The sequence below is a fragment of the Homo sapiens genome, chromosome 7, assembly GCF_000001405.40.
Source record: "Homo sapiens chromosome 7, GRCh38.p14 Primary Assembly".
NCBI lineage: Eukaryota > Metazoa > Chordata > Mammalia > Primates > Hominidae > Homo > Homo sapiens.
Genome location: NC_000007.14, coordinates 73,723,515 through 73,744,033, shown reverse-complemented (window position 1 = coordinate 73,744,033; position 20,519 = coordinate 73,723,515). Strand labels below are relative to the sequence as shown.

At 52.8% G+C, this 20,519-nt stretch overlaps 1 protein-coding gene and 2 pseudogenes across 12 annotated transcripts, besides 11 other annotated features; 2 read left to right on the top strand and 1 right to left on the bottom strand.

Moving 5' to 3' along the window:
• Positions 317-1,516: an enhancer, noted in NCBI's record as "P300/CBP strongly-dependent group 1 enhancer chr7:73156848-73158047 (GRCh37/hg19 assembly coordinates)". NCBI's record gives its function as "activates an origin of replication core promoter dependent on BRD2, BRD4, P300/CBP, MED14 and CDK7 cofactors, with strong dependence on P300/CBP, by STARR-seq in HCT116 cells {active_cell/tissue: HCT116}" and the evidence as "EXISTENCE:reporter gene assay evidence [ECO:0000049][PMID:35650434]".
• Positions 317-1,895: a biological region, named in NCBI's record as "P300/CBP strongly-dependent group 1 enhancer GRCh37_chr7:73156848-73158047".
• Positions 827-1,360: an enhancer, noted in NCBI's record as "OCT4-NANOG-H3K27ac-H3K4me1 hESC enhancer chr7:73157004-73157537 (GRCh37/hg19 assembly coordinates)". NCBI's record gives its function as "activates a minimal SCP1, AML or CMV promoter by ChIP-STARR-seq in naive H9 embryonic stem cells {active_cell/tissue: H9 hESC(naive)}" and the evidence as "EXISTENCE:reporter gene assay evidence [ECO:0000049][PMID:30033119]".
• Positions 913-1,032: a silencer, noted in NCBI's record as "silent region_18266". NCBI's record gives its function as "represses an Ori minimal core promoter by ATAC-STARR-seq in GM12878 lymphoblastoid cells {active_cell/tissue: GM12878}" and the evidence as "EXISTENCE:reporter gene assay evidence [ECO:0000049][PMID:35858748]".
• Positions 1,361-1,895: an enhancer, noted in NCBI's record as "H3K27ac-H3K4me1 hESC enhancer chr7:73156469-73157003 (GRCh37/hg19 assembly coordinates)". NCBI's record gives its function as "activates a minimal SCP1, AML or CMV promoter by ChIP-STARR-seq in naive H9 embryonic stem cells {active_cell/tissue: H9 hESC(naive)}" and the evidence as "EXISTENCE:reporter gene assay evidence [ECO:0000049][PMID:30033119]".
• Positions 4,119-4,775: an enhancer, noted in NCBI's record as "H3K27ac hESC enhancer chr7:73153589-73154245 (GRCh37/hg19 assembly coordinates)". NCBI's record gives its function as "activates a minimal SCP1, AML or CMV promoter by ChIP-STARR-seq in primed H9 embryonic stem cells {active_cell/tissue: H9 hESC(primed)}" and the evidence as "EXISTENCE:reporter gene assay evidence [ECO:0000049][PMID:30033119]".
• Positions 4,776-5,433: an enhancer, noted in NCBI's record as "H3K27ac hESC enhancer chr7:73152931-73153588 (GRCh37/hg19 assembly coordinates)". NCBI's record gives its function as "activates a minimal SCP1, AML or CMV promoter by ChIP-STARR-seq in primed H9 embryonic stem cells {active_cell/tissue: H9 hESC(primed)}" and the evidence as "EXISTENCE:reporter gene assay evidence [ECO:0000049][PMID:30033119]".
• Positions 5,112-5,211: a silencer, noted in NCBI's record as "silent region_18265". NCBI's record gives its function as "represses an Ori minimal core promoter by ATAC-STARR-seq in GM12878 lymphoblastoid cells {active_cell/tissue: GM12878}" and the evidence as "EXISTENCE:reporter gene assay evidence [ECO:0000049][PMID:35858748]".
• Positions 5,232-7,940, top strand: ABHD11 (abhydrolase domain containing 11). 11 transcript variants are annotated; one of them, NR_169872.1, is made up of 6 exons: positions 5,232-5,388; positions 5,571-5,701; positions 6,299-6,472; positions 6,643-6,813; positions 6,924-7,105; positions 7,343-7,940. NR_169872.1 is itself a non-coding variant. In NM_148913.4 (6 exons), the coding sequence occupies exons 1-6, from the start codon at positions 5,264-5,266 to the stop codon at positions 7,473-7,475; spliced, it is 900 nt and encodes a 299-aa protein (NP_683711.2). In that variant the 5' UTR covers positions 5,232-5,263; the 3' UTR covers positions 7,476-7,940. The 11 variants fall into 11 exon arrangements, 9 of the variants coding, with proteins under 9 accessions (NP_683711.2, NP_683710.2, XP_047276840.1 ...); NM_148913.4 differs by having other exon boundaries at positions 5,592-5,706; NM_148912.4 differs by having other exon boundaries at positions 5,571-5,706.
• A 93-nt stretch (positions 7,941-8,033) lies between these two features.
• Positions 8,034-8,965, bottom strand: BICDL3P (BICD family like 3, pseudogene; annotated as a pseudogene). Its single transcript, NR_026690.1, has 4 exons — positions 8,944-8,965; positions 8,535-8,793; positions 8,186-8,306; positions 8,034-8,104 (listed from the first exon to the last, which is right to left on the bottom strand). The product of NR_026690.1 is annotated as a BICD family like 3, pseudogene (transcript).
• Positions 8,850-9,029: an enhancer, noted in NCBI's record as "active region_26129". NCBI's record gives its function as "activates an Ori minimal core promoter by ATAC-STARR-seq in GM12878 lymphoblastoid cells {active_cell/tissue: GM12878}" and the evidence as "EXISTENCE:reporter gene assay evidence [ECO:0000049][PMID:35858748]".
• Positions 8,981-9,275: an enhancer, noted in NCBI's record as "tiled region #8580; HepG2 Activating DNase unmatched - State 12:CtcfO, and K562 Activating DNase unmatched - State 25:Art". NCBI's record gives its function as "activates a minimal TATA promoter and a strong SV40 promoter by Sharpr-MPRA in HepG2 and K562 cells {active_cell/tissue: HepG2 | K562}" and the evidence as "EXISTENCE:reporter gene assay evidence [ECO:0000049][PMID:27701403]".
• Positions 9,040-9,089: an enhancer, noted in NCBI's record as "active region_26128". NCBI's record gives its function as "activates an Ori minimal core promoter by ATAC-STARR-seq in GM12878 lymphoblastoid cells {active_cell/tissue: GM12878}" and the evidence as "EXISTENCE:reporter gene assay evidence [ECO:0000049][PMID:35858748]".
• Positions 11,166-11,465, top strand: RN7SL265P (RNA, 7SL, cytoplasmic 265, pseudogene; annotated as a pseudogene).

The following is a 20,519-nucleotide window of genomic DNA, read 5'->3' as shown; positions in this document are numbered from 1 at the left end:
CGGTAATCCCAGCTACTCTGAAGACTAAGGCAGGAGAATCGCTTGAACCTGGGAGGTGGAGGTTGCAGTGAGCCAAGATCGTGCCACTGCACTCCAGCCTGGGTGACAGAGCGAGACTCCATCTCAAAAAAAAAAATTGACAACTGTTACTGTCAGCAGGGCCTGTTGGAGGTTAGGGAGCAGAGGGAGCAATGACTGGAAGCAGGAGAATCTGTGGGGCTGGTGGGAATCTGTGGACAATCCGTGGGAAGGCTTGGTGGGCAGCAGGTGCGGGTGAGGCAGGGAGGTGGCAGAGAGAGCTTGTGGAGATGTTCTGGATACCAGAGCCCTGGCCTGATCCTGTACCGTCCCCACCTTCTCTGGATGACTGGGGCCAACCTAACCTGTTCCGAAGAAAATAAATACTCGGACATAATCCTTTGTTGTGAGATTAATTTGTTGTTTTGTTCACGGCTGCGTCTAGGAAGGTGCTTGGCGTGCAGTGAGAGGCTCTAATGGATCTGGGCTTGTTGAAGCAAGGCAGGAAGGAGCCAGTGTTCTCAAAGTGTTGGGTGAGTAGTAGGGGAGGCGCAGCCGGCAGCAGACCTGCAGGGATTACCATTCCCACATGGGAAAGGTTGCTGTGTGAGGATTAAACACAATAACGTATATGAAAATCCCGGCTGCTTAATACATCAACTCAGGTTCAAAATCTGGGAGGAGAGAAGCTGGGCTGATGTGGGGGTTGAGATGGGAGGAGGTTTCGAGCGGAGTCACATAGGGGCCCCCCAGGGACAGCCCCACGGGAAAGCTCCAGGGGTCTTTCGGGAAGCCCCGACTGGTGCCAGCACAGCTGACACTCCTGCCCCACCCGGCTGGCCAGCAGGAATTTGCCCCATGACCGCCCCTGGCAAGCTGCTGTCACCATGGCGACCGGCCACAAAACAAGCAGCCTGATTGTCCCTGCTCAGCGGGGCAGGTGAAACCCTGGCCACGTGACCGATACTGGGCCAGGTGCAGTTAAGGGACACCCGCCACCTCCCCTCCTTAACCCATTCAATGCCACCGCGCCACCTAGGCGCAGTGTCCCGGCCGCCTCAGGCCGCACCCCTTCGGCCCTTGGTCCCCACGGCCTGAAGGGTGGTGATGAAATACACGGAGCACTGCGTTAGGAGTCAGTGAAGGAAACAATCCGGGCTGTGCACTGGCTGAGTGACCTGGAGCTGGGTTACTTCGCCGTCCAAGCCTCTCTTTCCTCATCAGCAGAATAAGGACGGCACCCTCCCACTTCACAGGAAGCCTGGGAACACGGATGGGGCAGTGTACACTCGACCTCCAAAGAGCGATAGTCCATTTCACCTCCCACCTTCACCTCCACATGTCAGGGGCTCCGGAAGTCCTCCCCTCTGGCCTCCCCTAGAAGGAGGCCTTCGCCAACCAACAGCACGCTTCCTGGCCTGTTCCTAACAAGCTGAGAGGGCTGGGCAGCCCCCAGGATGACACCACCCCCAGATCCATTCCCAGGTAGCAACGACCCCTCCCCTGCCCCCACCACTTTCTCTGGAATGTTCAAGTGGAAACATCAAACCAACTGGTTTTTCTGCTTGCCTTCATCAGCCACCTGATCAGGGCTGGGGCCCAGGACTCTGAGTAAATATCTCAAGGCTGCTTCTGCCCCTAGATGTGGGGATCTTGGGCCAGGCTGAGATTACCTGGTGGAGGGTGGGGTGTATGGCAGGGATCAATTTGAAAGCACCTTTGAGGCCAGGCACAGTGGCTCATGCCTGTAATCCCAGCACTTTGGGAGGTCGAGGCAGGAGGATCACCTGAGGTCAGGAGTTTGAGATCAGCCTGCCCAACACGGTGAAACTCAGTCTCTACTAAAAATACAAAAATTAGCCGGGCATGGTGGCGCATACATGTAATCCCAGCTACTTGGGAGTCTGCAAAAGAGAATCGCTTGAACCCGGGAGGTAGAGGTTGCAGTGAGCTGAGATTGTCCCACTATACTCCAGCATAGGCAACAGAGAGACTCTCTCAAAACAAACAAACAAAAAAAAGCACCTTTGAAATACTATTGTTCTGAATCTTCAACCCCCACGCCCTTCACCCACCAACTCTAGAAAAACACCCACCAACTCTAGAAAAACACCCACCAACTCTAGAAAAACACTCTCCAAGGACCCCTCCCAGGCCTGGGACCAGCCCCCATACAGGGCTCAGATGTCCTCATCACTCCCCTAATTACTATGCGGGAAACATGATCACACCACCTGGTGTGCTTAGAGTCCTCGGTGACCTCAGCCCTCCTCAGATTGGAACCAAACACCTCAGGGTCCCATTAAGCAGGAGATGGAGCTTTACAGAGTTAGGACACATCCTCAGCTTGGCCAGCATGGTGAAATCCTGTCTCTGCCAAAAACAGAAAAAAATCAGCCAGGTGTGGTGATGCGCGCCTGTAGTCCCAGCTACTCGGGAGACTGAGGCATGAGAACTGCTTGAACCCGGGAGGCAGAGGTTGCAGTGAGCCAGGTTCCAGCCTCCATGACAGAGCCAGACCCTGTCTCAAAAAAAAAAAAAAATTAATGGCCAGGCGCAGTGGCTCACACCTGTAATCCCAGCATTTTGGGAGGCCGAGGCGGGCAGATCACCTGAGGTCGGGAGTTTGAACCAGCCTGACCAACGTGGAGAAACCCCGTCTCTACTAAAAATACAAAATTAGCCGGCGTAGTGGCGCATGCCTGTAATCCCAGCTACTCGGGAGGCTGAGGCAGGAGAGTCGCTTGAACCCAGTAGGTAGAGGTTGCGGTGAGCCAAGATCGCACCATTGCACTCCAGCCTGGGCAACAAGAGCAAAACTCCGTCTCAAAATATAATAGTAATAATTAATTAATTAATTATTTTTTTAAAAAAAAAGTTAGGACTCATCCTGTAGGTCCTGGACCGCCCTAAGGAGGTGGGGGAGGGGTCAGTGTAAGACTAGCTGGCCCAGGTGTCATATCCGGGAGGGCCACTAACCCAGCCACCCGCAGGACTTCCACATAAGCATTTACCAGTGCCCTGAAGCTCTTGATGACTATTACCACTTTGCACCAGATGAACAAGACATAGCTCCCGCTGTGGACACACAGGGAGGGCTGCCTCTATAATACTACACAGTAGCCTCTGAGAAATGCTTCCAGAACATTCCATGAAAGAGATTAGTTTTAACTCAGAAAGTCTGCGAAGGCTTGAGGAGGAGGCAGCAGTTATACAATGCCTTAAAAGGCCTATAGCTGAGGCCAGGCATGGTGGAGCACACCTGTAATTCCAGCTACTCAGGGGGCTGAGGCAGGAGGATCAGTTGAGTCTGGGAGTTCCAGACCAGCCTGAAACTGTCCCCTTGCTATGCCTAGAACATAGTAAGACTCTATCTCTACAAAACAGAAAAAAATTAGCCAGACATGGTGGTGCACATCTGTGGTCCCAGCTACTCGGGAGGGTGAGGCAGGAAGATTGCCTGGGCCCAGGGGGAAGAGGTTGCAGTGAGCCGTGATTGTGCCACTGCAGTCCAGCCTGGGTGACGCAGTGAAACCCTGTCTCAGAAAAAATAAAATAAAAGCCATATACCTGAGACAGGAAGGTCGCTTGAGGCCAGGAGCTGGAGACCAGCTTGGGCAAGGTAGCAAGACCCCTTCTCTAAAAAAAATTTTGTTGGGCCAGGTGTGGTGGCTCATGCCTGTAATCTCAGCACTTTGAGCCCAGGAGTTCGAGACCAGCCTGGGCAACATAGCAAGCCCCCGCTTCTATTTTTTAAAAAAAAAATTTTTTTTTTGAGATGGAGTCTCGCTCTGTCACTGAGGCTGGAATGCAGTGGCAAGATCTCGGCTCACTGCAACCTCCATCTCCCAAGTTCACACGATTCTCCTGCCTCAGCCTCCCCAGTAGCTGGGATTACAGGGCCGTGCCACCACCCACGGCAATTTTTTTTTTTTTTAAACGGAGTCTGTCTCCGTCCGGTAGGCTGGTGTGCAGTGGCATGATTTCCGCCCATTGCAACCTCCGCCTCCTGAGTTCAAGCGACTCTCCTGCCTTAGCCTCCCGAGTAGCTGGGATTACAGGCACCCGCCACCACGCCCAGCTAATTTTTGTATTTTTAGTAAAGACGGGGTTCCACCATATTGGCCAGGGTGGTCTCCAACTCCTGGCCTCAGGTGATCTGCCCACCTCAGCCTCCCAAAGTGCCGGGATTACAGGCGTGAGCCACCGCACCCGGCCTAAAAAAAAAAATTGTAACCATGATTCAGTAAAAAAAAAAAAAAAAAAAAAAATGTTAAAATTAGTCTGCGCCTGTAGTCCCAGATTCTCGGGAGGCAAAGGCGGGAGGATCGCTTGAGCCCAGGAGGTCGAGGCTGCAGTGAGCTACGGTCGCGTCACTGCACTCCGGCCTGGGCGAGGGTAAGACCCCCACCAAAAAAAAGTATAGGACTCGGGCAACTGGCTATCTGGAAGACAGACAGCACCCCAGCAGGAGGTGGGGTGTGGAGAAGACCTTGAAAGGCAGGGTGCCTGATAGGGGAGTATGAGAATGGGGAGTATGGGCAGAAAAGCAGGTGGGATCAGACTGGGGGAGCCTTCCCCAAACGTAAAAGGGACGAAGGGGCTTGGGGAAGAGCTCTAGAGTGCCCCCGAGCTCCTTCTAGATCGACGACTCCAGGATGGGTGGGTGTCCGTGCTCCGCCCAACCTGCCCGGGCCCCCGGCAGTGGAGCACGGCGCCACCACACTGGCACTCCGCCGCCCAGAGCCACCCTGGCGCCGCTCGCCCCCGCCGGCGGCACAGAAACGATGGCAGCCACCCAGGTCAGTGAGCGATGGCAGGTGCGGGGCGGGAACCGAGCCCTAAGCTGCAACCAGAACCGAGCACGCACAGAGCGGCGCAGACCGAATTCCCAGATTCTACGCACCGCGGCGCTTCGCGAGGGGAGGGGCAAGCACCGCGGGTTGCCCAGCCTAGGGCGAGGCCAGGTGCGGCGCTCAGGGCGACCCGCGCAAAGCCTGCGGGGATTACGTAATGGCGTAAGGGGCGGGGATGGAGGCGGGGCCGGACTGTTCTCGGGGATACGTAAGGAAACGGGACCAAGGGCGGAGAATCCCGCGATGGGGGCGGGGAGAGGGCGGGGCTCAAGTCGGAACTGGGCGGGGCGGCTGAAGACGGAAATGGGCGGGGCTGCGAGCTAGGGCGGGAGAAGGAGCGCGGGGAGGACGTACCTTGTGAGATGCGAGCCGGCCAACAGCTTGCAAGCATGCTCCGCTGGACCCGAGCCTGGAGGCTCCCGCGTGAGGGACTCGGCCCCCACGGCCCTAGCTTCGCGAGGGTGCCTGTCGCACCCAGCAGCAGCAGCGGCGGCCGAGGGGGCGCCGAGCCGAGGTCAGTCAAGGGCACCGGGCGGGAGGCCATCCTCTGTCCTCCTTTTCCTGCCGGGCCCCGACGGCCCCATCTCCTCCCTTTGGGCCTGTCACCTCCCAGGCCTCTCCCCCAAAGCTCTTTCCCCCTACCCCTTTCCCCGTCTCCGCCGGCTCAGACTCTGACCTCGATCCTTCCCCTGCCAGGCCGCTTCCGCTTTCCTACAGGCTTCTGGACGGGGAGGCAGCCCTCCCGGCCGTCGTCTTTTTGCACGGGCTCTTCGGCAGCAAAACTAACTTCAACTCCATCGCCAAGATCTTGGCCCAGCAGACAGGCCGTAGGGTGAGCTTTCGAGTGGGCGGGGCTCCTTTGGGGCTGGGCGGGAGTGGGCGGGGCCTGAGAGGAGGCGGGGCAGGGGGGGTCCCGCTTCTCACGCTCACTTCCAGATCCCTCACTCTGAGTATGGACCCTGAACGGCAACCCCATTTATTCCCTCACGTTGCCATCTTCATTAATTCATGTTGTAGATCTCCATCGGGGCTGGCCCATGCCTAGGCGCCTGCACCCTTTCCATGAAGGGGCCTGCTTGTTCACTAGGGATGACCGGGAGCTCACCACCTCTTATGGCAGCCCATTCTTCTGTGCTCCTACTGTTGGAAATTCCTGGAGTCTCCTTCCTGGCATTCTCCGAGATTGCCACCCAGCCAGGCCAGCCCTTCAGAGACGTGGTCACAACCCTGGGGCCTGCTCTTCTCTGGCAGAGTGGCCCCAGGTTCTTCATCTGGGCCTCCTAGGTCTGGAAACTGGGCCCTTCCCCTCCACAGGGTGTATCCCCAGGCTCTCCACACCTTTGACCTGCTGTCCCTACAAGCCTTTGGCTGTCTACCCCCAGAATGGGGATATCAACGCAGCCCCGTCTCACCCCACTCCCCAGGTGCTGACGGTGGATGCTCGTAACCACGGTGACAGCCCCCACAGCCCAGACATGAGCTACGAGATCATGAGCCAGGACCTGCAGGACCTTCTGCCCCAGCTGGGCCTGGTGCCCTGCGTCGTCGTTGGCCACAGCATGGGAGGAAAGACAGCCATGCTGCTGGCACTACAGAGGGTGAGCCGCCCATGTCTGGGGCCTCCTCCCATTCAGTATATACCCTGAGGGCCCTGCAGGCAACCTGGGACTCACATGATCGTTGGATGACCAAGTTCAGGCTCCAGGAGCCATGCCTGAGACTCCCTATGTCTGCCTAAGACTGGTCCCAGTTCGGTTCTCTCCCACAGCCAGAGCTGGTGGAACGTCTCATTGCTGTAGATATCAGCCCAGTGGAAAGCACAGGTGTCTCCCACTTTGCAACCTATGTGGCAGCCATGAGGGCCATCAACATCGCAGATGAGCTGCCCCGCTCCCGTGCCCGAAAACTGGCGGATGAACAGCTCAGTTCTGTCATCCAGGTGATACACCCAAGGTGCCCCGGATGGTATTGTAGACCAGGACCTGTCAAGGGAAGAGTGGCACCCCCAGACCGCACAAGGAACCTCCCCCAACTGCTGCACCCCCACAGGACATGGCCGTGCGGCAGCACCTGCTCACTAACCTGGTAGAGGTAGACGGGCGCTTCGTGTGGAGGGTGAACTTGGATGCCCTGACCCAGCACCTAGACAAGATCTTGGCTTTCCCACAGAGGCAGGAGTCCTACCTCGGGCCAACACTCTTTCTCCTTGGTGGAAACTCCCAGTTCGTGCAGTAAGCTAGCCTGGGTAGTAGGAGGGGCATGCTTTACTCGCCCAGGCCCCAGCCTGGGGACCCTACCAGGGGAGGCCTTGGGTGTGGAAGGGGGGTGGCTGAGAGGCCAGAAATACCACCGGGCATATGGGCTCACACAGCTCTCTCCATTTCTCCCCGTTCTGCTTCCACGTGTCTCTTTCACTCCTCCTCATCCCACTTTCACCCGTTTTTGATGGCCGTCGCTGCGATGCACAGTCCCAGCCACCACCCTGAGATTATGCGGCTCTTCCCTCGGGCCCAGATGCAGACGGTGCCGAACGCTGGCCACTGGATCCACGCTGACCGCCCACAGGACTTCATAGCTGCCATCCGAGGCTTCCTGGTCTAAGAGTTGCTGGCAAGAAGATGGCCGGGCGTGGTGGCTCATGCCTGTAATTCCAGCACTTTGGGAGGCTAAGGCGGGAGGATGACTTGAGGCCAGGAGTTGGAGACCAGCCTGGCCAACATGGTGAAACCCTGTCTCTACTAAAAATACAAAAATTAGCCTGGCGTGGTGGTGCACACCTGTAATCCCAGCTACTCTGGAGGCTGAGGCAGGAGAATCACTTGAACCCTGGAGGCAGAGGTTGCAATGAGCCGAGATCACACCACTACACTCCAGCCTAGGCAACAGAGCAAGACTCTGTCTCAAAAAAAACAAAACAAAAAGGAGGCACAAAACCCCAGGCTTCAAGTCTCTGCAGCCTGCTCCACATTTGGGCACAGAAGGACTCAGACAGGCACTGTGTGGGCACGAGGTTTTACAGGGGTGGTCAGACCTCAGGCTTTAATGAATAAAGACACTACTCCCAAAGTCCTGGGCTGAGGTCTGTGTCACCACCAACGTCCCCGACCCAGGGAGAATCTGGATCGGGGGGTGCTGGCAGCTCCAGGGTCCACGTGGGCTCCCCGAGTACCCTTGGCCTCTCTCTGCAGCTGATTCTGGACCTGCTGCCACACCAGCTGCTGCACGTCCTCCTGTGGACAGGAGAGCAGGTTCAAGGCTGAGCCTGTGCCCTCTTTCCCCACACCTCCCAGGCCCTGATGGCATTCCCCTACCTCCCAGGCCTCCAGCTCCCGCCTCAGCCTCAGTTTCTCCTCCAGGACCTCCAGCAGCTGGGCCTCCATGGCGTGTAGCCTGGCTTTGCATCTCTGCAGCTCCGCCTCCACCGCCTGCTTCCTGTGGGTGGCAGAGAGAGTAGCTGAGGCTCGGACCCTGTGGGTCTGGTTGTGAGGTCCTGGGGGTGGACGAGTATGGCCACAGCCCCCGCCTCAGTGAAGGGCAGCTGGTTGTGTGGCTTTCCTTCCAGAATGCCTGACTAGCCCCCCGCTCCTCCATTAGCAGGACAAGGCCCTGCAGGGGAGCCCCCAACTCCCCTCCCAGCCCCCAAAAGCAGCTTCCCCTTACTTGGCAATGGCTTCATCCCGTTCCTGGAGGACTTGGTCCAGGGAGGGTTCTGTCCGGGTGTCCCCCAGTGCTCCAGCCGCCTGGTACTCTGGGCTGTGTCGCAGGGTGACAGAGGAGGAGGCAGCGACCAAGTCTTGTCTGGAAGAGGTGTCTCACTCTGGGCCCTCCCGCCTTGGCCTCGGCTTTGATGTTGCTGTCAGGTGGAGAGGCGGCTGAGGTGCTCTGTACCTGCCCCTGCTGCTGCCCCAGTCTCATGGACCTATGGAAAGGAAGAGGAGGTGGATGGTGTGGCCACTGCCTGGCCTCAATGCAAGCAGCGTGGGCAGGGTATTTGGACCTCCAGGGAGCAAAGAATTCTCACCCAGTCATCAGGGAAGGACGAGGCAGCTGTGTTCAGAAGAACACTTACCCTCAAGGGCTGGGACTTAGGGTGGCCTGGTGACTGGGACTCTTGGCAGCTGGGTGGAGCAAGCGAAAGACATGGCCCTTTGCCCTCCCTTCCCAGCAAGGCACTCCCTGGCAGGCCCCACCCCTGCCAGGCCAAGGAGGAAGGCCTGCTGCATCCTAGAAACTTCCGGCCAGGCCCAGAGCACACTCAGCCCCCTTCCTCCCTTCACCACAAGAGGGTGCTCTACCCACGTCTTGTGAAAGAAAGGGCGGAGCTGGGCACAGTGGCTCATGCCTGTCATCCCAGCACTCGGAGGCTGAGGCAGGAGGATCTATTGAGCCCACTTCAAGGCTGCAGTGAGCCATAGGATCACACCACTGCACTCCAGCCTAGGTAACAGAGCAAGACGTTGTCTCAAAAAGAGAGGGAGAGGTAAGGAGAGGAGGGAAGAAGGCATTATGTCTCCAATGCTGAGAGGCATAAGGTACCCCAGCCCCCATCCTGAAGGGTTAGCTTGGTACCTTGAATGGCATCATCCACACATATAAATATAACCTTACCTCTGCAGAAAAACAGAAGGAAAAAAGTGTATCCCTAACAAATTCCTCCTCACATTTTATTTTATATATATATATATATATATTTTGAGACAGAGTCTCACTCTGTCCCCCAGGCTGGAGTGCAGTGGTGCAATCTCAGCTCACTGCAAGCTCCACCTCCCAGATTCACACCATTCTCCTGCCTCAGCCTCCCGAGTAGCCGGGACTACAGGCGCCCACCACCACGCCCGGCTAATTTTTTATACTTTCAGTAGAGACGGGGTTTCACCGTGTTAGCCAGGATGGCCTCGATCTCCTGACCTCGTGATCCGCCTGCCTTGGGCTCCCAAAGTGCTGGGATTACAAGCGTGAGCCACCGCGCCTGGCCATTTTTAATTTTTTTTAATTTATGTATTTTTTTGAGACGGAGTCTCACTCTCTTGCCAGGCTGGAGTGCAGTGGCTGCAGTGGTGCAGTCTTGGCTCACTGCAACCTCTGCTTCCCGAGTTCAAGCGATTCCCCTGCCTCAGCCTCCCGAGTAGCCAGTGGCATGAGCCGGTGGCGTGAGCCACAGCACCCAACTCAATTTTTTTTTTTTTTTTTGAAATGGAGTCTCACTCTGTCGCCCAGGCTGGAGTGCAGTGGCACGATCACGGCTCACTGCAAGCTCTGCCTCCCAGGTTAAAGCCATTCATCTGCCTCAGCCTCCCGAGTAGCTGGGACTACAGGCGCCCGCCACCACGCCCGGCTAATTTTTTGTATTTCTAGTAGAGACAGGGTTTCGCCACGTTAGCCAGGATGGTCTCGATCTCCTGACCTTGTGATCCGCCCGCCTTGGCCTCCCAAAGTGCTGGGATTACAGGCATGAGCCACTGCGCCCAGCCACATTTGTGTGTGTGTGTGTGTGTGTTTTGAGATGGACTCTTGCTCTGTCACCCAGGCTGGAGTGCAGTGAGATCTCAGCTCCTTGCAACCTCCACCTCCTAGTTCAAACGATTCTTCTGCCTCAGCCTCCCAAGTAGCTGGGACTACAGGTGCATGCCACCACATCCGGGTAATTTTGGTATTTTTTTTAGTAGAGATGGGGTTTCACCATGTTGGCCAGGCTGGTCTCAAACTCCTGACCTCAAGTGATCTGCCTGCCTCGAACTCCCAAAGTGCTGGGATTACAAGTGTGACCCACATGCCCAGCCCACATTTTTTGTTCTTAGACTCAATGTGTCGCCCAGGCTGAAGTGCAGTGGCACAGTCATAGCTCACTGCAGCCTCAAACTCCTGGGCTCAATGGATCCTCCCTCCTCAGTCTTCGAAGTAGCTGGTACTAAAGGCATTCACCACCATGCCCAGCAAATGTTTTTAAAATGTTTTGTAGACATGAGGTCTCTCTGTGGTGCCCAGGCTGGTCTTGAACTCCTGACTTCCAGTGTCAGCCTCCCAACGCACCCCGCCCTCCTAACATCTTCAATACTACCTCTAATATTCCCAGCGTTCTGATCCAAGAGCATGGGTAGGTCTGCTGTGCCCCCAGGGGTCTCAGTACCCCCCACCTCCCTTGAGGTGACCACCACCTCCACAAGTACCCGGAGTATACCAGCAACATATTCATAAATGTGTAAAAAGAAATCTCCATTTCAGCAAAGGTCTTGTCAGCAAAGTTGCATATTAGGGATTAGGTCTTCAACCCAGCTCCAAACAGTAAATGTCACCAGGTGCAGTGTCTGTAGTCCCAGCTACTTGGGAGGCTGAGGCAGGAGGATCGCTGGAGTCCAGGAGTTCCGGGTTGTAGTGCAGTATGCCTGTAGTGCAGATAGCTATACTTGCACTAAGTTCACCACCAATTTGGTGACCTCTCAGGAGCAGGGGATTACCAAGCTGCCTAAAGAGAGGTGCACCAGCCCAGCTCAGAAACAGAGGGGTCAAAACTCCTTTGCTGATCAGTAGTGGGATCTTGCCTGTGAATAGCCACTGCACTTCAGCCTGGGCAACATAGCAAGACCCATCTCTAAAATACATAAATAGGCAGGGCACAGTGACTCATGCTTGTAATCCTAGCACTTTTGGGAGGCCGAGGTGGGCAATCATGAGGTCAGGAGTTTCAGACCAGCCTGGCCAACATAGTGAAACCTGTCTCTACTAAAAATACAAAAAAATTAGCCAGGCATGGTGGTGGGTGCCTGCAATCCCAGCTACTGAGGAAGCTGAGGCAGAAGAATCACTTGAACCCGGGAGATGGAGGTTGCAGTGAGCTGAGATCATGCCACTGCACTCCAGCCTAGGCGGCAGAGGAAGACTCTGTCTCAAAACAACAACAACAAAAACAAATTTAAAACAGCTCTCCAATGTCCAAAAAATTTAACCTTTAAGGTGAAAAAAAAAAAAAAACTGTCCGGGCGCTGTGGCTCACACCTGTAATCCCAGCACTTTGGGAGGCCACAGTGGGCAGATCACGAGGTCAGGAGTTCAAGACCATGGCCAACATGGTGAAACCCCGTCTCTACTAAAAATACAAAAATTAGCTGGGCGTGATGGTGTGGGTCTGTAATCCCAGCTACACAGTAGGCTGAGGCAGGAGAATCGCTTGAACCCAGGACCCAGGAAGCGGAGGTTGCAGTGAGCTGAGATTGCACCACTGCATTCCAGCCTGGGTGACAGAGCGAGACTCCATCTCAAAAAAAAAAAAAAAAAAAACTGGTAAGTTGTGAAACCCTGTACCTAGTTGTGACATCTGTATTCTCTCTCAATCTAGAACAATTTGCAGCCTTTGAGTTTCACGACCTTAATATTTTCGGAGATTACAGGGAAGTTATTTTGTAGACTGTCCTTCCATTTCGGTTTGTCCACTCCTTCCTGACGATGAGACCACCGTGACACATTCTGGACAGAAATACCACAAAAATGATGCTATGCTCTCACTGTAGCCAAATGTCCATTGGAGCCATGAATGGTAGTACCAACGTCCATCACTTCATTAAGATGCTTTTTTTGGCTGGGTGCGGTGGTTCACGCCTGTAATCCCAACACTATGGAAGGCCGAGGCAGGCTGATCACGAGGTCAGGAGTTCGAGACCAGCCTGGCCAACATAGTGAAACCCCATCTCTACTAAAAATACAAAAAATCGGCCTGGCGCGGTGGCTCACACCTGTAACCCCAGCGCTTTGGGAGGCCGAGATGGGCAGATCACTTGAGGCCAAGAGTCCGAGACCAGCCTGGCCAACACAGTAAAACCCCATCTCAACTACAAATTTAAAAAAGTAGCCGGACATGGTGGCGCGTGCCTGTAATCCCAGCTACTCAGGTGCCTGAGGCAAGAAAATCGCTTGAACCCGGGAGGCAGAGGTTGCAGTGAGCAGAGATCGCGCCACCACTGCACTCCAGCCTGGGCAAGAGAGTGAGACTGTCTCAAAAAAAAAAAAAAGATAAATACAAAAAATTAGTCGGGCATGATGGCAGGTGCCTGTAATCCCAGCTACTCAGGAGGCCGAGGCAGGAGAATCGCTTGAACCCAGGAGGCGGAGGTTGCAGTGAGCCGAGATTGCACCACTGCACTCCAGCCTGGGTGACAGAGAGAGACTCTAGCTCAAAAAACAAAAAAACAAAAACAAAAAAAACAAAGCAAGACCAAACCATGCTTTTTTTTTCTTTTCTTTTTTTGAGACAGGGTCTCACTGTGTCACCCAGGCTGGAGTGCAGTGGCACAATCATAGCTCACAGCAGCCTTGACCTCCCAGGCTCAAGCGATCCTCCCTCCTCAGCATCCCAAGTAACTGGGACTACAGTCATGAGCCACCATGACAGGCTTTTTCCTGTCATTTATTTTGATGCTCAAATTGTCCCAGATTTGATCAGTGGATGCCCCTTGCTGACCTCTTGTCATTTTGACAAGCCCCGTTGTTCTTTAATCACTTCCTTTCTTTCTGGCTCAGCAAGATATTTCAGGCTTATCTTGTTTCTCCCTGTCCCGGCCCTGAATTCTCCATTTCTTCAAGAATACTTGGTTTCTTTGTAAGGAGGAATGGTATTTAGAAACCAGGATCTCCATGGTAGGCACATTCAATGCAATTAGGGTCATTCTACACCAGGGTCCACTCAGTGGACACACATTTATACACACACATAAACATACATATTTACATCTGTTTATTTTATCTGTCTACATAAACTGGGGAAAAATAGTTTATATTTACACCTTAAATTCCAGTCTAAAAGCACAAGTTTCATCCTTGCCTTTTTTTTTTTTTTTTTTTTTGGCGACGATGTCTTGCTATTTTGCCCAGGCTGGAGTGCAATGGTGCAATCTCAGCTCACTGCAACCTCCATCTCCTGGGTTCAAGCGATTCTCCTGCCTCAGCCTCCTGAGTAGCTGGGATTACAGGCGTGCACCACCACACCCAGCTAATTTTTGTACTTTTAGTAGAGATGGGGTTTCACCATGTTGGTCAGGCTGGTCTGAAACTCTTGACCCCATATACTATATTTTTTTTTCTTTTTTTTTTTTTGAGATGGAGTCTCACTCTGTTGCCCAGGCTGGAGTGCAGTGGCACAGTCTTGGCTCACTGCAAGATCCGCCTCCCGGGTTCACGCCATTCTCCTGCCTCAGCCCCCGAGTAGCTGGGACTACAGGCGCCCACCACCACGCCCAGCTAATTTTTGTATTTTTAATAGAGATGGGGTTTCACTTTGTTAGCCAGGATGGTCTCGACCTCCTGACCTCGTGATCCACCCATCTTGGCCTCCCAAAGTGCTGGGATTACAGGTGTGAGCCACCGCACCCGGACTATATATATATATATATTTTTTTTTAAGACAGGGTCTCACTCTGTTTCCCAGGCTGGAGTGCAGTGGTGTAATCATGGCTCACTGCAGCCTCAATCTCCTGGACTCCAGCCATCCTCCCACCTCAGCCTCCTGAGTAGCTGGGACTACAGGCACTCGCCACCATACCAATTTTTTTTTCTTTTTTTTTTTGAGACAGAATCTTACTCTGTCACCCAGGCCAGATCAGTGGCAAGATCTCAGCTCACTGCAACCTCTGCCTCCAGGTTCAAGTGATTCTCATGCCTCAGCCTCCCGAGTAGCTGGGATTACAGGCACGCACCACCACGCCTAGCTAATTTTTGTATTTTTAGTAGAGATGGGATTTTGCCATGTTCGCCAGGCTGGTCTTGAACTCCCAACCTCAAGTGATCTGCCCACCTCAGCCTCCAAAAGTGTTTTAAGATTACAGGCATGAGCCACCAAGCCTGACCTAATTTTTTTTTTTTTTTTTTTGTAGAGACAGGGTCTTGCTATAGTGCCCAGGGTGGTCTCAAACTCCTGGGCTCAAGCGATCCTCCTGCCTTCGCCTCCCAAAGTGCTGGGATTACAGGTGAAAGCCACCGTGCCCAGGTCCCTTTCCTTTTTTTTTTTTTTTTTTCAAGACAGGGTCTTGCTCTGTTGCCCAGGCAGGAGTGCAGTGGCACAATCTCAGCTCACTGCAACCTCCTCCTCCCAGGTTCAAGCGATTCTAACCCCTTAGCCTCCCAAGTAGCTGGGATTACAGGCGGGCACCACCACGCCCAGCTAATTTTTGTATTTTTAGTAGAGACAACGTTTCACCATGTTGTCCAGGTTGGTCACGAACTCCTGAGCTCAGGTAATCTGCTACCTTGGCCTCCCAAAGTGCTGGGATGGCAGGCGTGCACCATGGCTCCCAGTCAGACTAGCACATCTTTCTAAGAGCTTTACAGTCATTCGTTCAGCCCACAAATATTTACTGAGCACCTACTGTGTTCAAAGTATGTTTCCAAGTGGCAGACGTAAATCAAGACAGACAAAGCTCCTTGAGCTCATGGAGCTCACATTCCAGGGAGGGGACATAGACCATAAACAAATTAACAAGCGTATCAGATGGTAAGAAGTACTGTGGAGAAGAATTAAGCAGGGAGAGGAAATGAGGAAGGAACAGGCGATTGCTGTTTTATTTTATTTTATGTTAGAGACAGAGTCTTACTCTGTTTCCCAGGCTGGTGTGCAGTGGTGTGATCTCGGCTCACTGCAACCTCCACCTCCAGGTTCAAGCGATTCTCCCCTCAGCCTCCGAAGTAACTGGGACTACAGGCGCCTGCCAGCATACCTGACTAATTTTTTGTATTTTTGGTAGAGGCATGGTTTCACCACGTTGGCCAGGCTGGTCTTGAACTCCTGACCCCAAGTGATCCGCCCGCCTTGGCCTCCCAAAGTTCTGGGATTACAGGTGTGAGCCACTGCACCCAGCCCAATTGCTATTTTACATAATTCTGTGGTTACCCTAAGGAGATGACAAATATTCACCTACCATTTAGATGAAAAACAACCAACCTAATCACTCTCATGACTTGGAGTGATATTTTCAGTGACAGCATCATTAATGAGCTCAAAAAGTGCTGTGTCACACAAGTAGGAGTTAGCAAAACAAAAAAAATAGAAAAATAAAAAAGTGCTGTGTTTCCAAGCAAAAGCGAAGATGATGTGTTTGAGAAAACTAGGGAACTTGAAAGAGGCACTAGGGGATGACACGTAACAATGACAATGACCATGGGAGGCAGAAATGCGAATAAAGAGTTTGCATAAACTTTCACAAACCACAAGAGTGGAAAAGCAATGTTTCTAAATAAAACTATTCTTTAAAATATAAGATTTTAGACCAGGCGCAATGGCTCACGCCTGTAATCCCAGCACTTTGGGAGGCTGAGGTGGGCAGATCACTTGAGGTCAGGAGTTTGAGATCTGCCTGACCAACATGGTGAAACCCCGTCTCTACTAAAAATACAAAAAATTAGCCGGGTGCAGCGGTGCATGCCTGTAATCCCAGGTACTCTGGAGGCTGAGGTGAGAGGGTCATTTGAACCCGGGAGGCAGAGGTTGCAGTGAGCCAAGATCGTGCCACTTCACTCCAGCCTGGGAGACAGAGCGAGACTCCATCTCAAAAAAAAAAAAAAATTAAAATAACACTGGGTGCAGTGGCTCACGCCTGTAATCCCAGCACTTTGGGAGGCCAAGGCGGGCAAATCACCTGAGGTCAGGAGTTCAAGACCAGCCTGACCAACATGGAGAAACCCTGTCTCTACTAAAAAAAATACAAAATTAGCCTGGCGTGGTGGCGCATGCCTGTAATCCCAACTACTCAGGAGGCTGAGGCAGGAGAATCGCTTGAATCCGGGAGGCAGAGGTTGCAGTGAGCCGAGATTGTGCCATTGGACTCCAGCCTGGGTGACAAGAGCAAGACTCCATCTCAAAAAAATAAATAAATAAAAATTAAATAAAATATGGGATTTTTAAAGTCTAAATTTTAAATATTTAACTAAATATTATAAGTAGGGAGTTGATTATTCATCTGTATCTCTAAAAGTTTAAATTAGAATTTGGGACAAATTTTTTTTAAATCTCATTCAGAAAAAGAGGAAAGAAATTTACATTCAGGCATATAGTGAATTTCATCCCAAAGCACTATGCAAATGTCACACACTAAGTACCAGGACTCCTTGCCTGGCCGCCCACATCCTCCTCCTCTCCTGCTCCCCGAGGATGGCTGAGCCCAGGCCTGGGGTTGAGCCAGGAGACGGTTCCCAGCTAATGGTGAACTGGGATGGGGAGAGAGAGCTACCAGGTGGGCTGCGGGGCTGGGCATGGTGATCACAACACCAGGGATTGGCAGGGCTGGCAATTTAAGCACTGCCACCCAAGGCTTATGACTTTGTATGCACCTCTGGGAGCCTCAATGTCCTCATCTGTGAAATGCAGCTAGTAGAGGGCCTCCCTGACAGAGTCACAGTAAGGGTTAAAGGAGGCAGGCAACTCACTCGGTGGCCAGTGCTTTGTATAAAGCACAGGCCAGGGCACCAAACACAGTAATCCCAGCCCTTTGGGAGGCTGAGGCAGGAGGATGGCTTGAGCCCAGGAGTTCAACACAAGCCTGGGCAACATAGCAAGACCCTGTAATTTTTTTTTCTTTCTTTTTTTTGGAACCTGCAATTTTTAAAAATTAAATTACAAAAAGAAAAAAAAATGGACCAGGGCCAGGCTTCCCAGGAGAGGATAAAAAGGGAATAAGCCTGCCAGACCCAAGAAAGCAACAACAAGAGAATCTCAACTACACACACACACAGACACACACACAGACACACACACAGATACACAGACACACACACACAGATACACAGACATGCACAGACACACAGACACACACAGATACACAAACAGAACACACACAGACACACAGATACACAGACACACACACATACACACACAGACATACACAGATACACAGACACACAGACATACAGATACACAGACACAGACACACACAGATTCACAGACACACACACAGATTCACAGACACACAGATACACACACATACACATACACACACAGCCATGCAGCCTGGGTCAGCCGCCCTTCCCATTCCCCAGCCCCCACAACCATGCTCCAGGAACAAGTCTGTTCCTGAATCCTACAAAAGCTTCCTCCTCTTCCTCCTCCAGACCCCAGCAGCCCCTGGGCCTCCTCATCGTTGTCCTGTCACTGTCACTGCGCCTTTCCTACCAGCCCCAGAGGTTCTGGAGGACAGGTGGTGACTGTCTTCGTGCCAACCATCCACACAGGTACAAGGCAAGGCAAGGCAATACCGGCCCTGCCCAGAAGGTGGCAGCAGCGCTCAACATCAGGGATGCAGCGGGCCTGGGCTCACCCCAACCCTCCCAGCCTATGGGATGGAAACACCAAACTGTGCCCGGGAGCTCTGGGAGTTCCCAAATGCCCAGCCTTTGCCCTGTGCTTGCTTGCTTGCTTTGCTTGCTTGCTTGCTTGCTTGCTTGCTTGCTTGCTTGCTTGCTTGTTTGTTTGTTTGTTTGTTTGTTTGTTTGTTTTGAGACGGAGGCTTGCTGTGTCTCCCAAGCTGTAGTGCAGTGTCGCGATTCTGGCTCAGTGCAACCTCTGCCTCCCGGTTCAAGCGATTCTCCTGCCTCAGCCTCCCAAGTAGCTGGGACTACAGGAACCTGCCACCACACCCGGCTAGTTTTTTGTATTTTTAATAGAGATGGGGTTTCACCATGTTGGCCAGGCTGATTTCAAACTCCTGACCTCAAGTGATCCGCCCACCTCAGCCTCCCAAAGTGCTGGGATTACAGGTGTAAGCCATTTCCCCAGCCTTTTTTTTTTTTTTGAGACGGAGTCTTGTTCTGTCACCAGGCTGGAGTGCAGTGGCAGGATCTCGGCTCACTGCAACCTCCGCCTCCCGGGTTCAAGCGATTCTCCTACCTCAGCCTCCCAAGTAGCTGGGATTACAGGCACACGCCACCACACCTGGCTAATTTTTGTATTTTTAGTAGAGACAGAGTTTTGCCATGTTGCCGGTCTGGAACTCGAACTCCTGGCCTCAAGTGATCTGTTCACTGGGGCCTCCCAAAGTGCTGGGATTATAGGTGTGAGCCACTGTGCCCGGCCTGGCCTCACTTCCTTCGAGCGCATTCTCTTACCTCCTCTACTCCAGGCCTCCTCGCCTCCTTGCTGTTTTGTCATTCACACCAGGCAGGCTCCCTCCTCATGGTTGTTGCACTTGCTGTTCCCTCTACCCAGAATGCTTTTCCCCAGATACCTACATGGCTCACTCCCTCACCTCCTTCAGAGATATACTCAAATACCACCTTCTCATCAAGGACCTCCCTGACCAAATCATCTAGAATTGAAGCTGGGCGCAGCGGCGCTTGCCTGGAGTCTCAACTACTCAGGGGGCTAAGGCAGACGGATCACTTGAGCCCAGGCATTCAAGACCAGCCTGGGAACATATCAAGACCCTGTCTCTGCAAAAAATAACAAAAATTAGCCAGGTGTGTTAGTGTGCACCTGTAGTCCCAGCTACTTGGGAGGCTGAGGCAAGAGGATCACTTGAGCCCAGGAGTTTCAGGCTGCAGTGAGCCATGATCATGCCACTGCACTCCAGGCTGGGCAACATAGCAAGACCCTGTCTTTTAAAAAAAAAAAAAGAAGAAAAAGGCCGGGCGCAGTGGCTCATTCCAGCACTTCGGGAGGCCGAGGCGGGCGGATCACCTGAGGTCGGGAATTCGAGACCAGCCTGACCAACATGGAGAAACCCCATCTCTACTAAAAATAAAAAATCAGCCGGGCATGGTGGCATATGCCTATAATCCCAGCTACTAGGGAGGCTGAGGCAGGAGAATCGCTTGAACCCTGGAGGCGGAGGTTGCAGTGAGCTGAGATCGTGCCATTGCACTCCAGCCTGGGCAACAAGAGCAAAACTCTGTCTCAAAAAAAAAAAAAAAGAAGAAAAAAGAAAAAAAAGAAGAAGAAAAAAAAACTTGAACTGTACCAGTAAAACTGGAATTCCTCACTCAAACCCAGTAAGTAGTTCCTACCCCGTCTTTCCTTGTAGCATATCATCACCATTATATATGTTATTTATTTGTGTGTTTGGCATCTTTACTAGACCACAGACTGCATGGGGGCAAGGGCTTGTCCATCTTTTTTTCTGCCATATTCCCAACATCTAGAATAGCGGGCACATAGTAGATGCTCAATAAATACTTTTTTATTTGTATATATTTTTGGACAGGGTCTCACTCTGTTGCCCAGGCTGGAGTAGAGTGGCACAATCATGGCTCACTGAAGGCTCAAACTCCTGGGCTCAAGCAGTCCTCCCACCTCAGCCTCCTAAGTAGCTGGGAGTACAGGTGTGCACCACGATGCTCAGCTAATTTTTAGAAAAATATTTTTCTTTGGAGACAGGGTCTCCGTGTGTTGCCCAGGTTGATCTTGAACTTCTGGCCTCAAGCGATCCTCCTGCCTCGGCCTCCCAAAGTGCTGGGATTACTGGTGTGAGCCACCACCACACTCAGCCTAATAAATACTTTTTTTTTTTTGAGACGGAATCTCGCTCTTTCGCCCAGGCTGGAGTGCAGTGGTGCGATCTCTGCTCACTGCAAGCTCTGCCTCGCAGGTTCACGCCATTCTCCTGCCTCCGCCTCCCAAGTATCTGGGACTACAGGCGCCCACCACCATGCCCGGCTAATTTTTTTTTTTTTTTT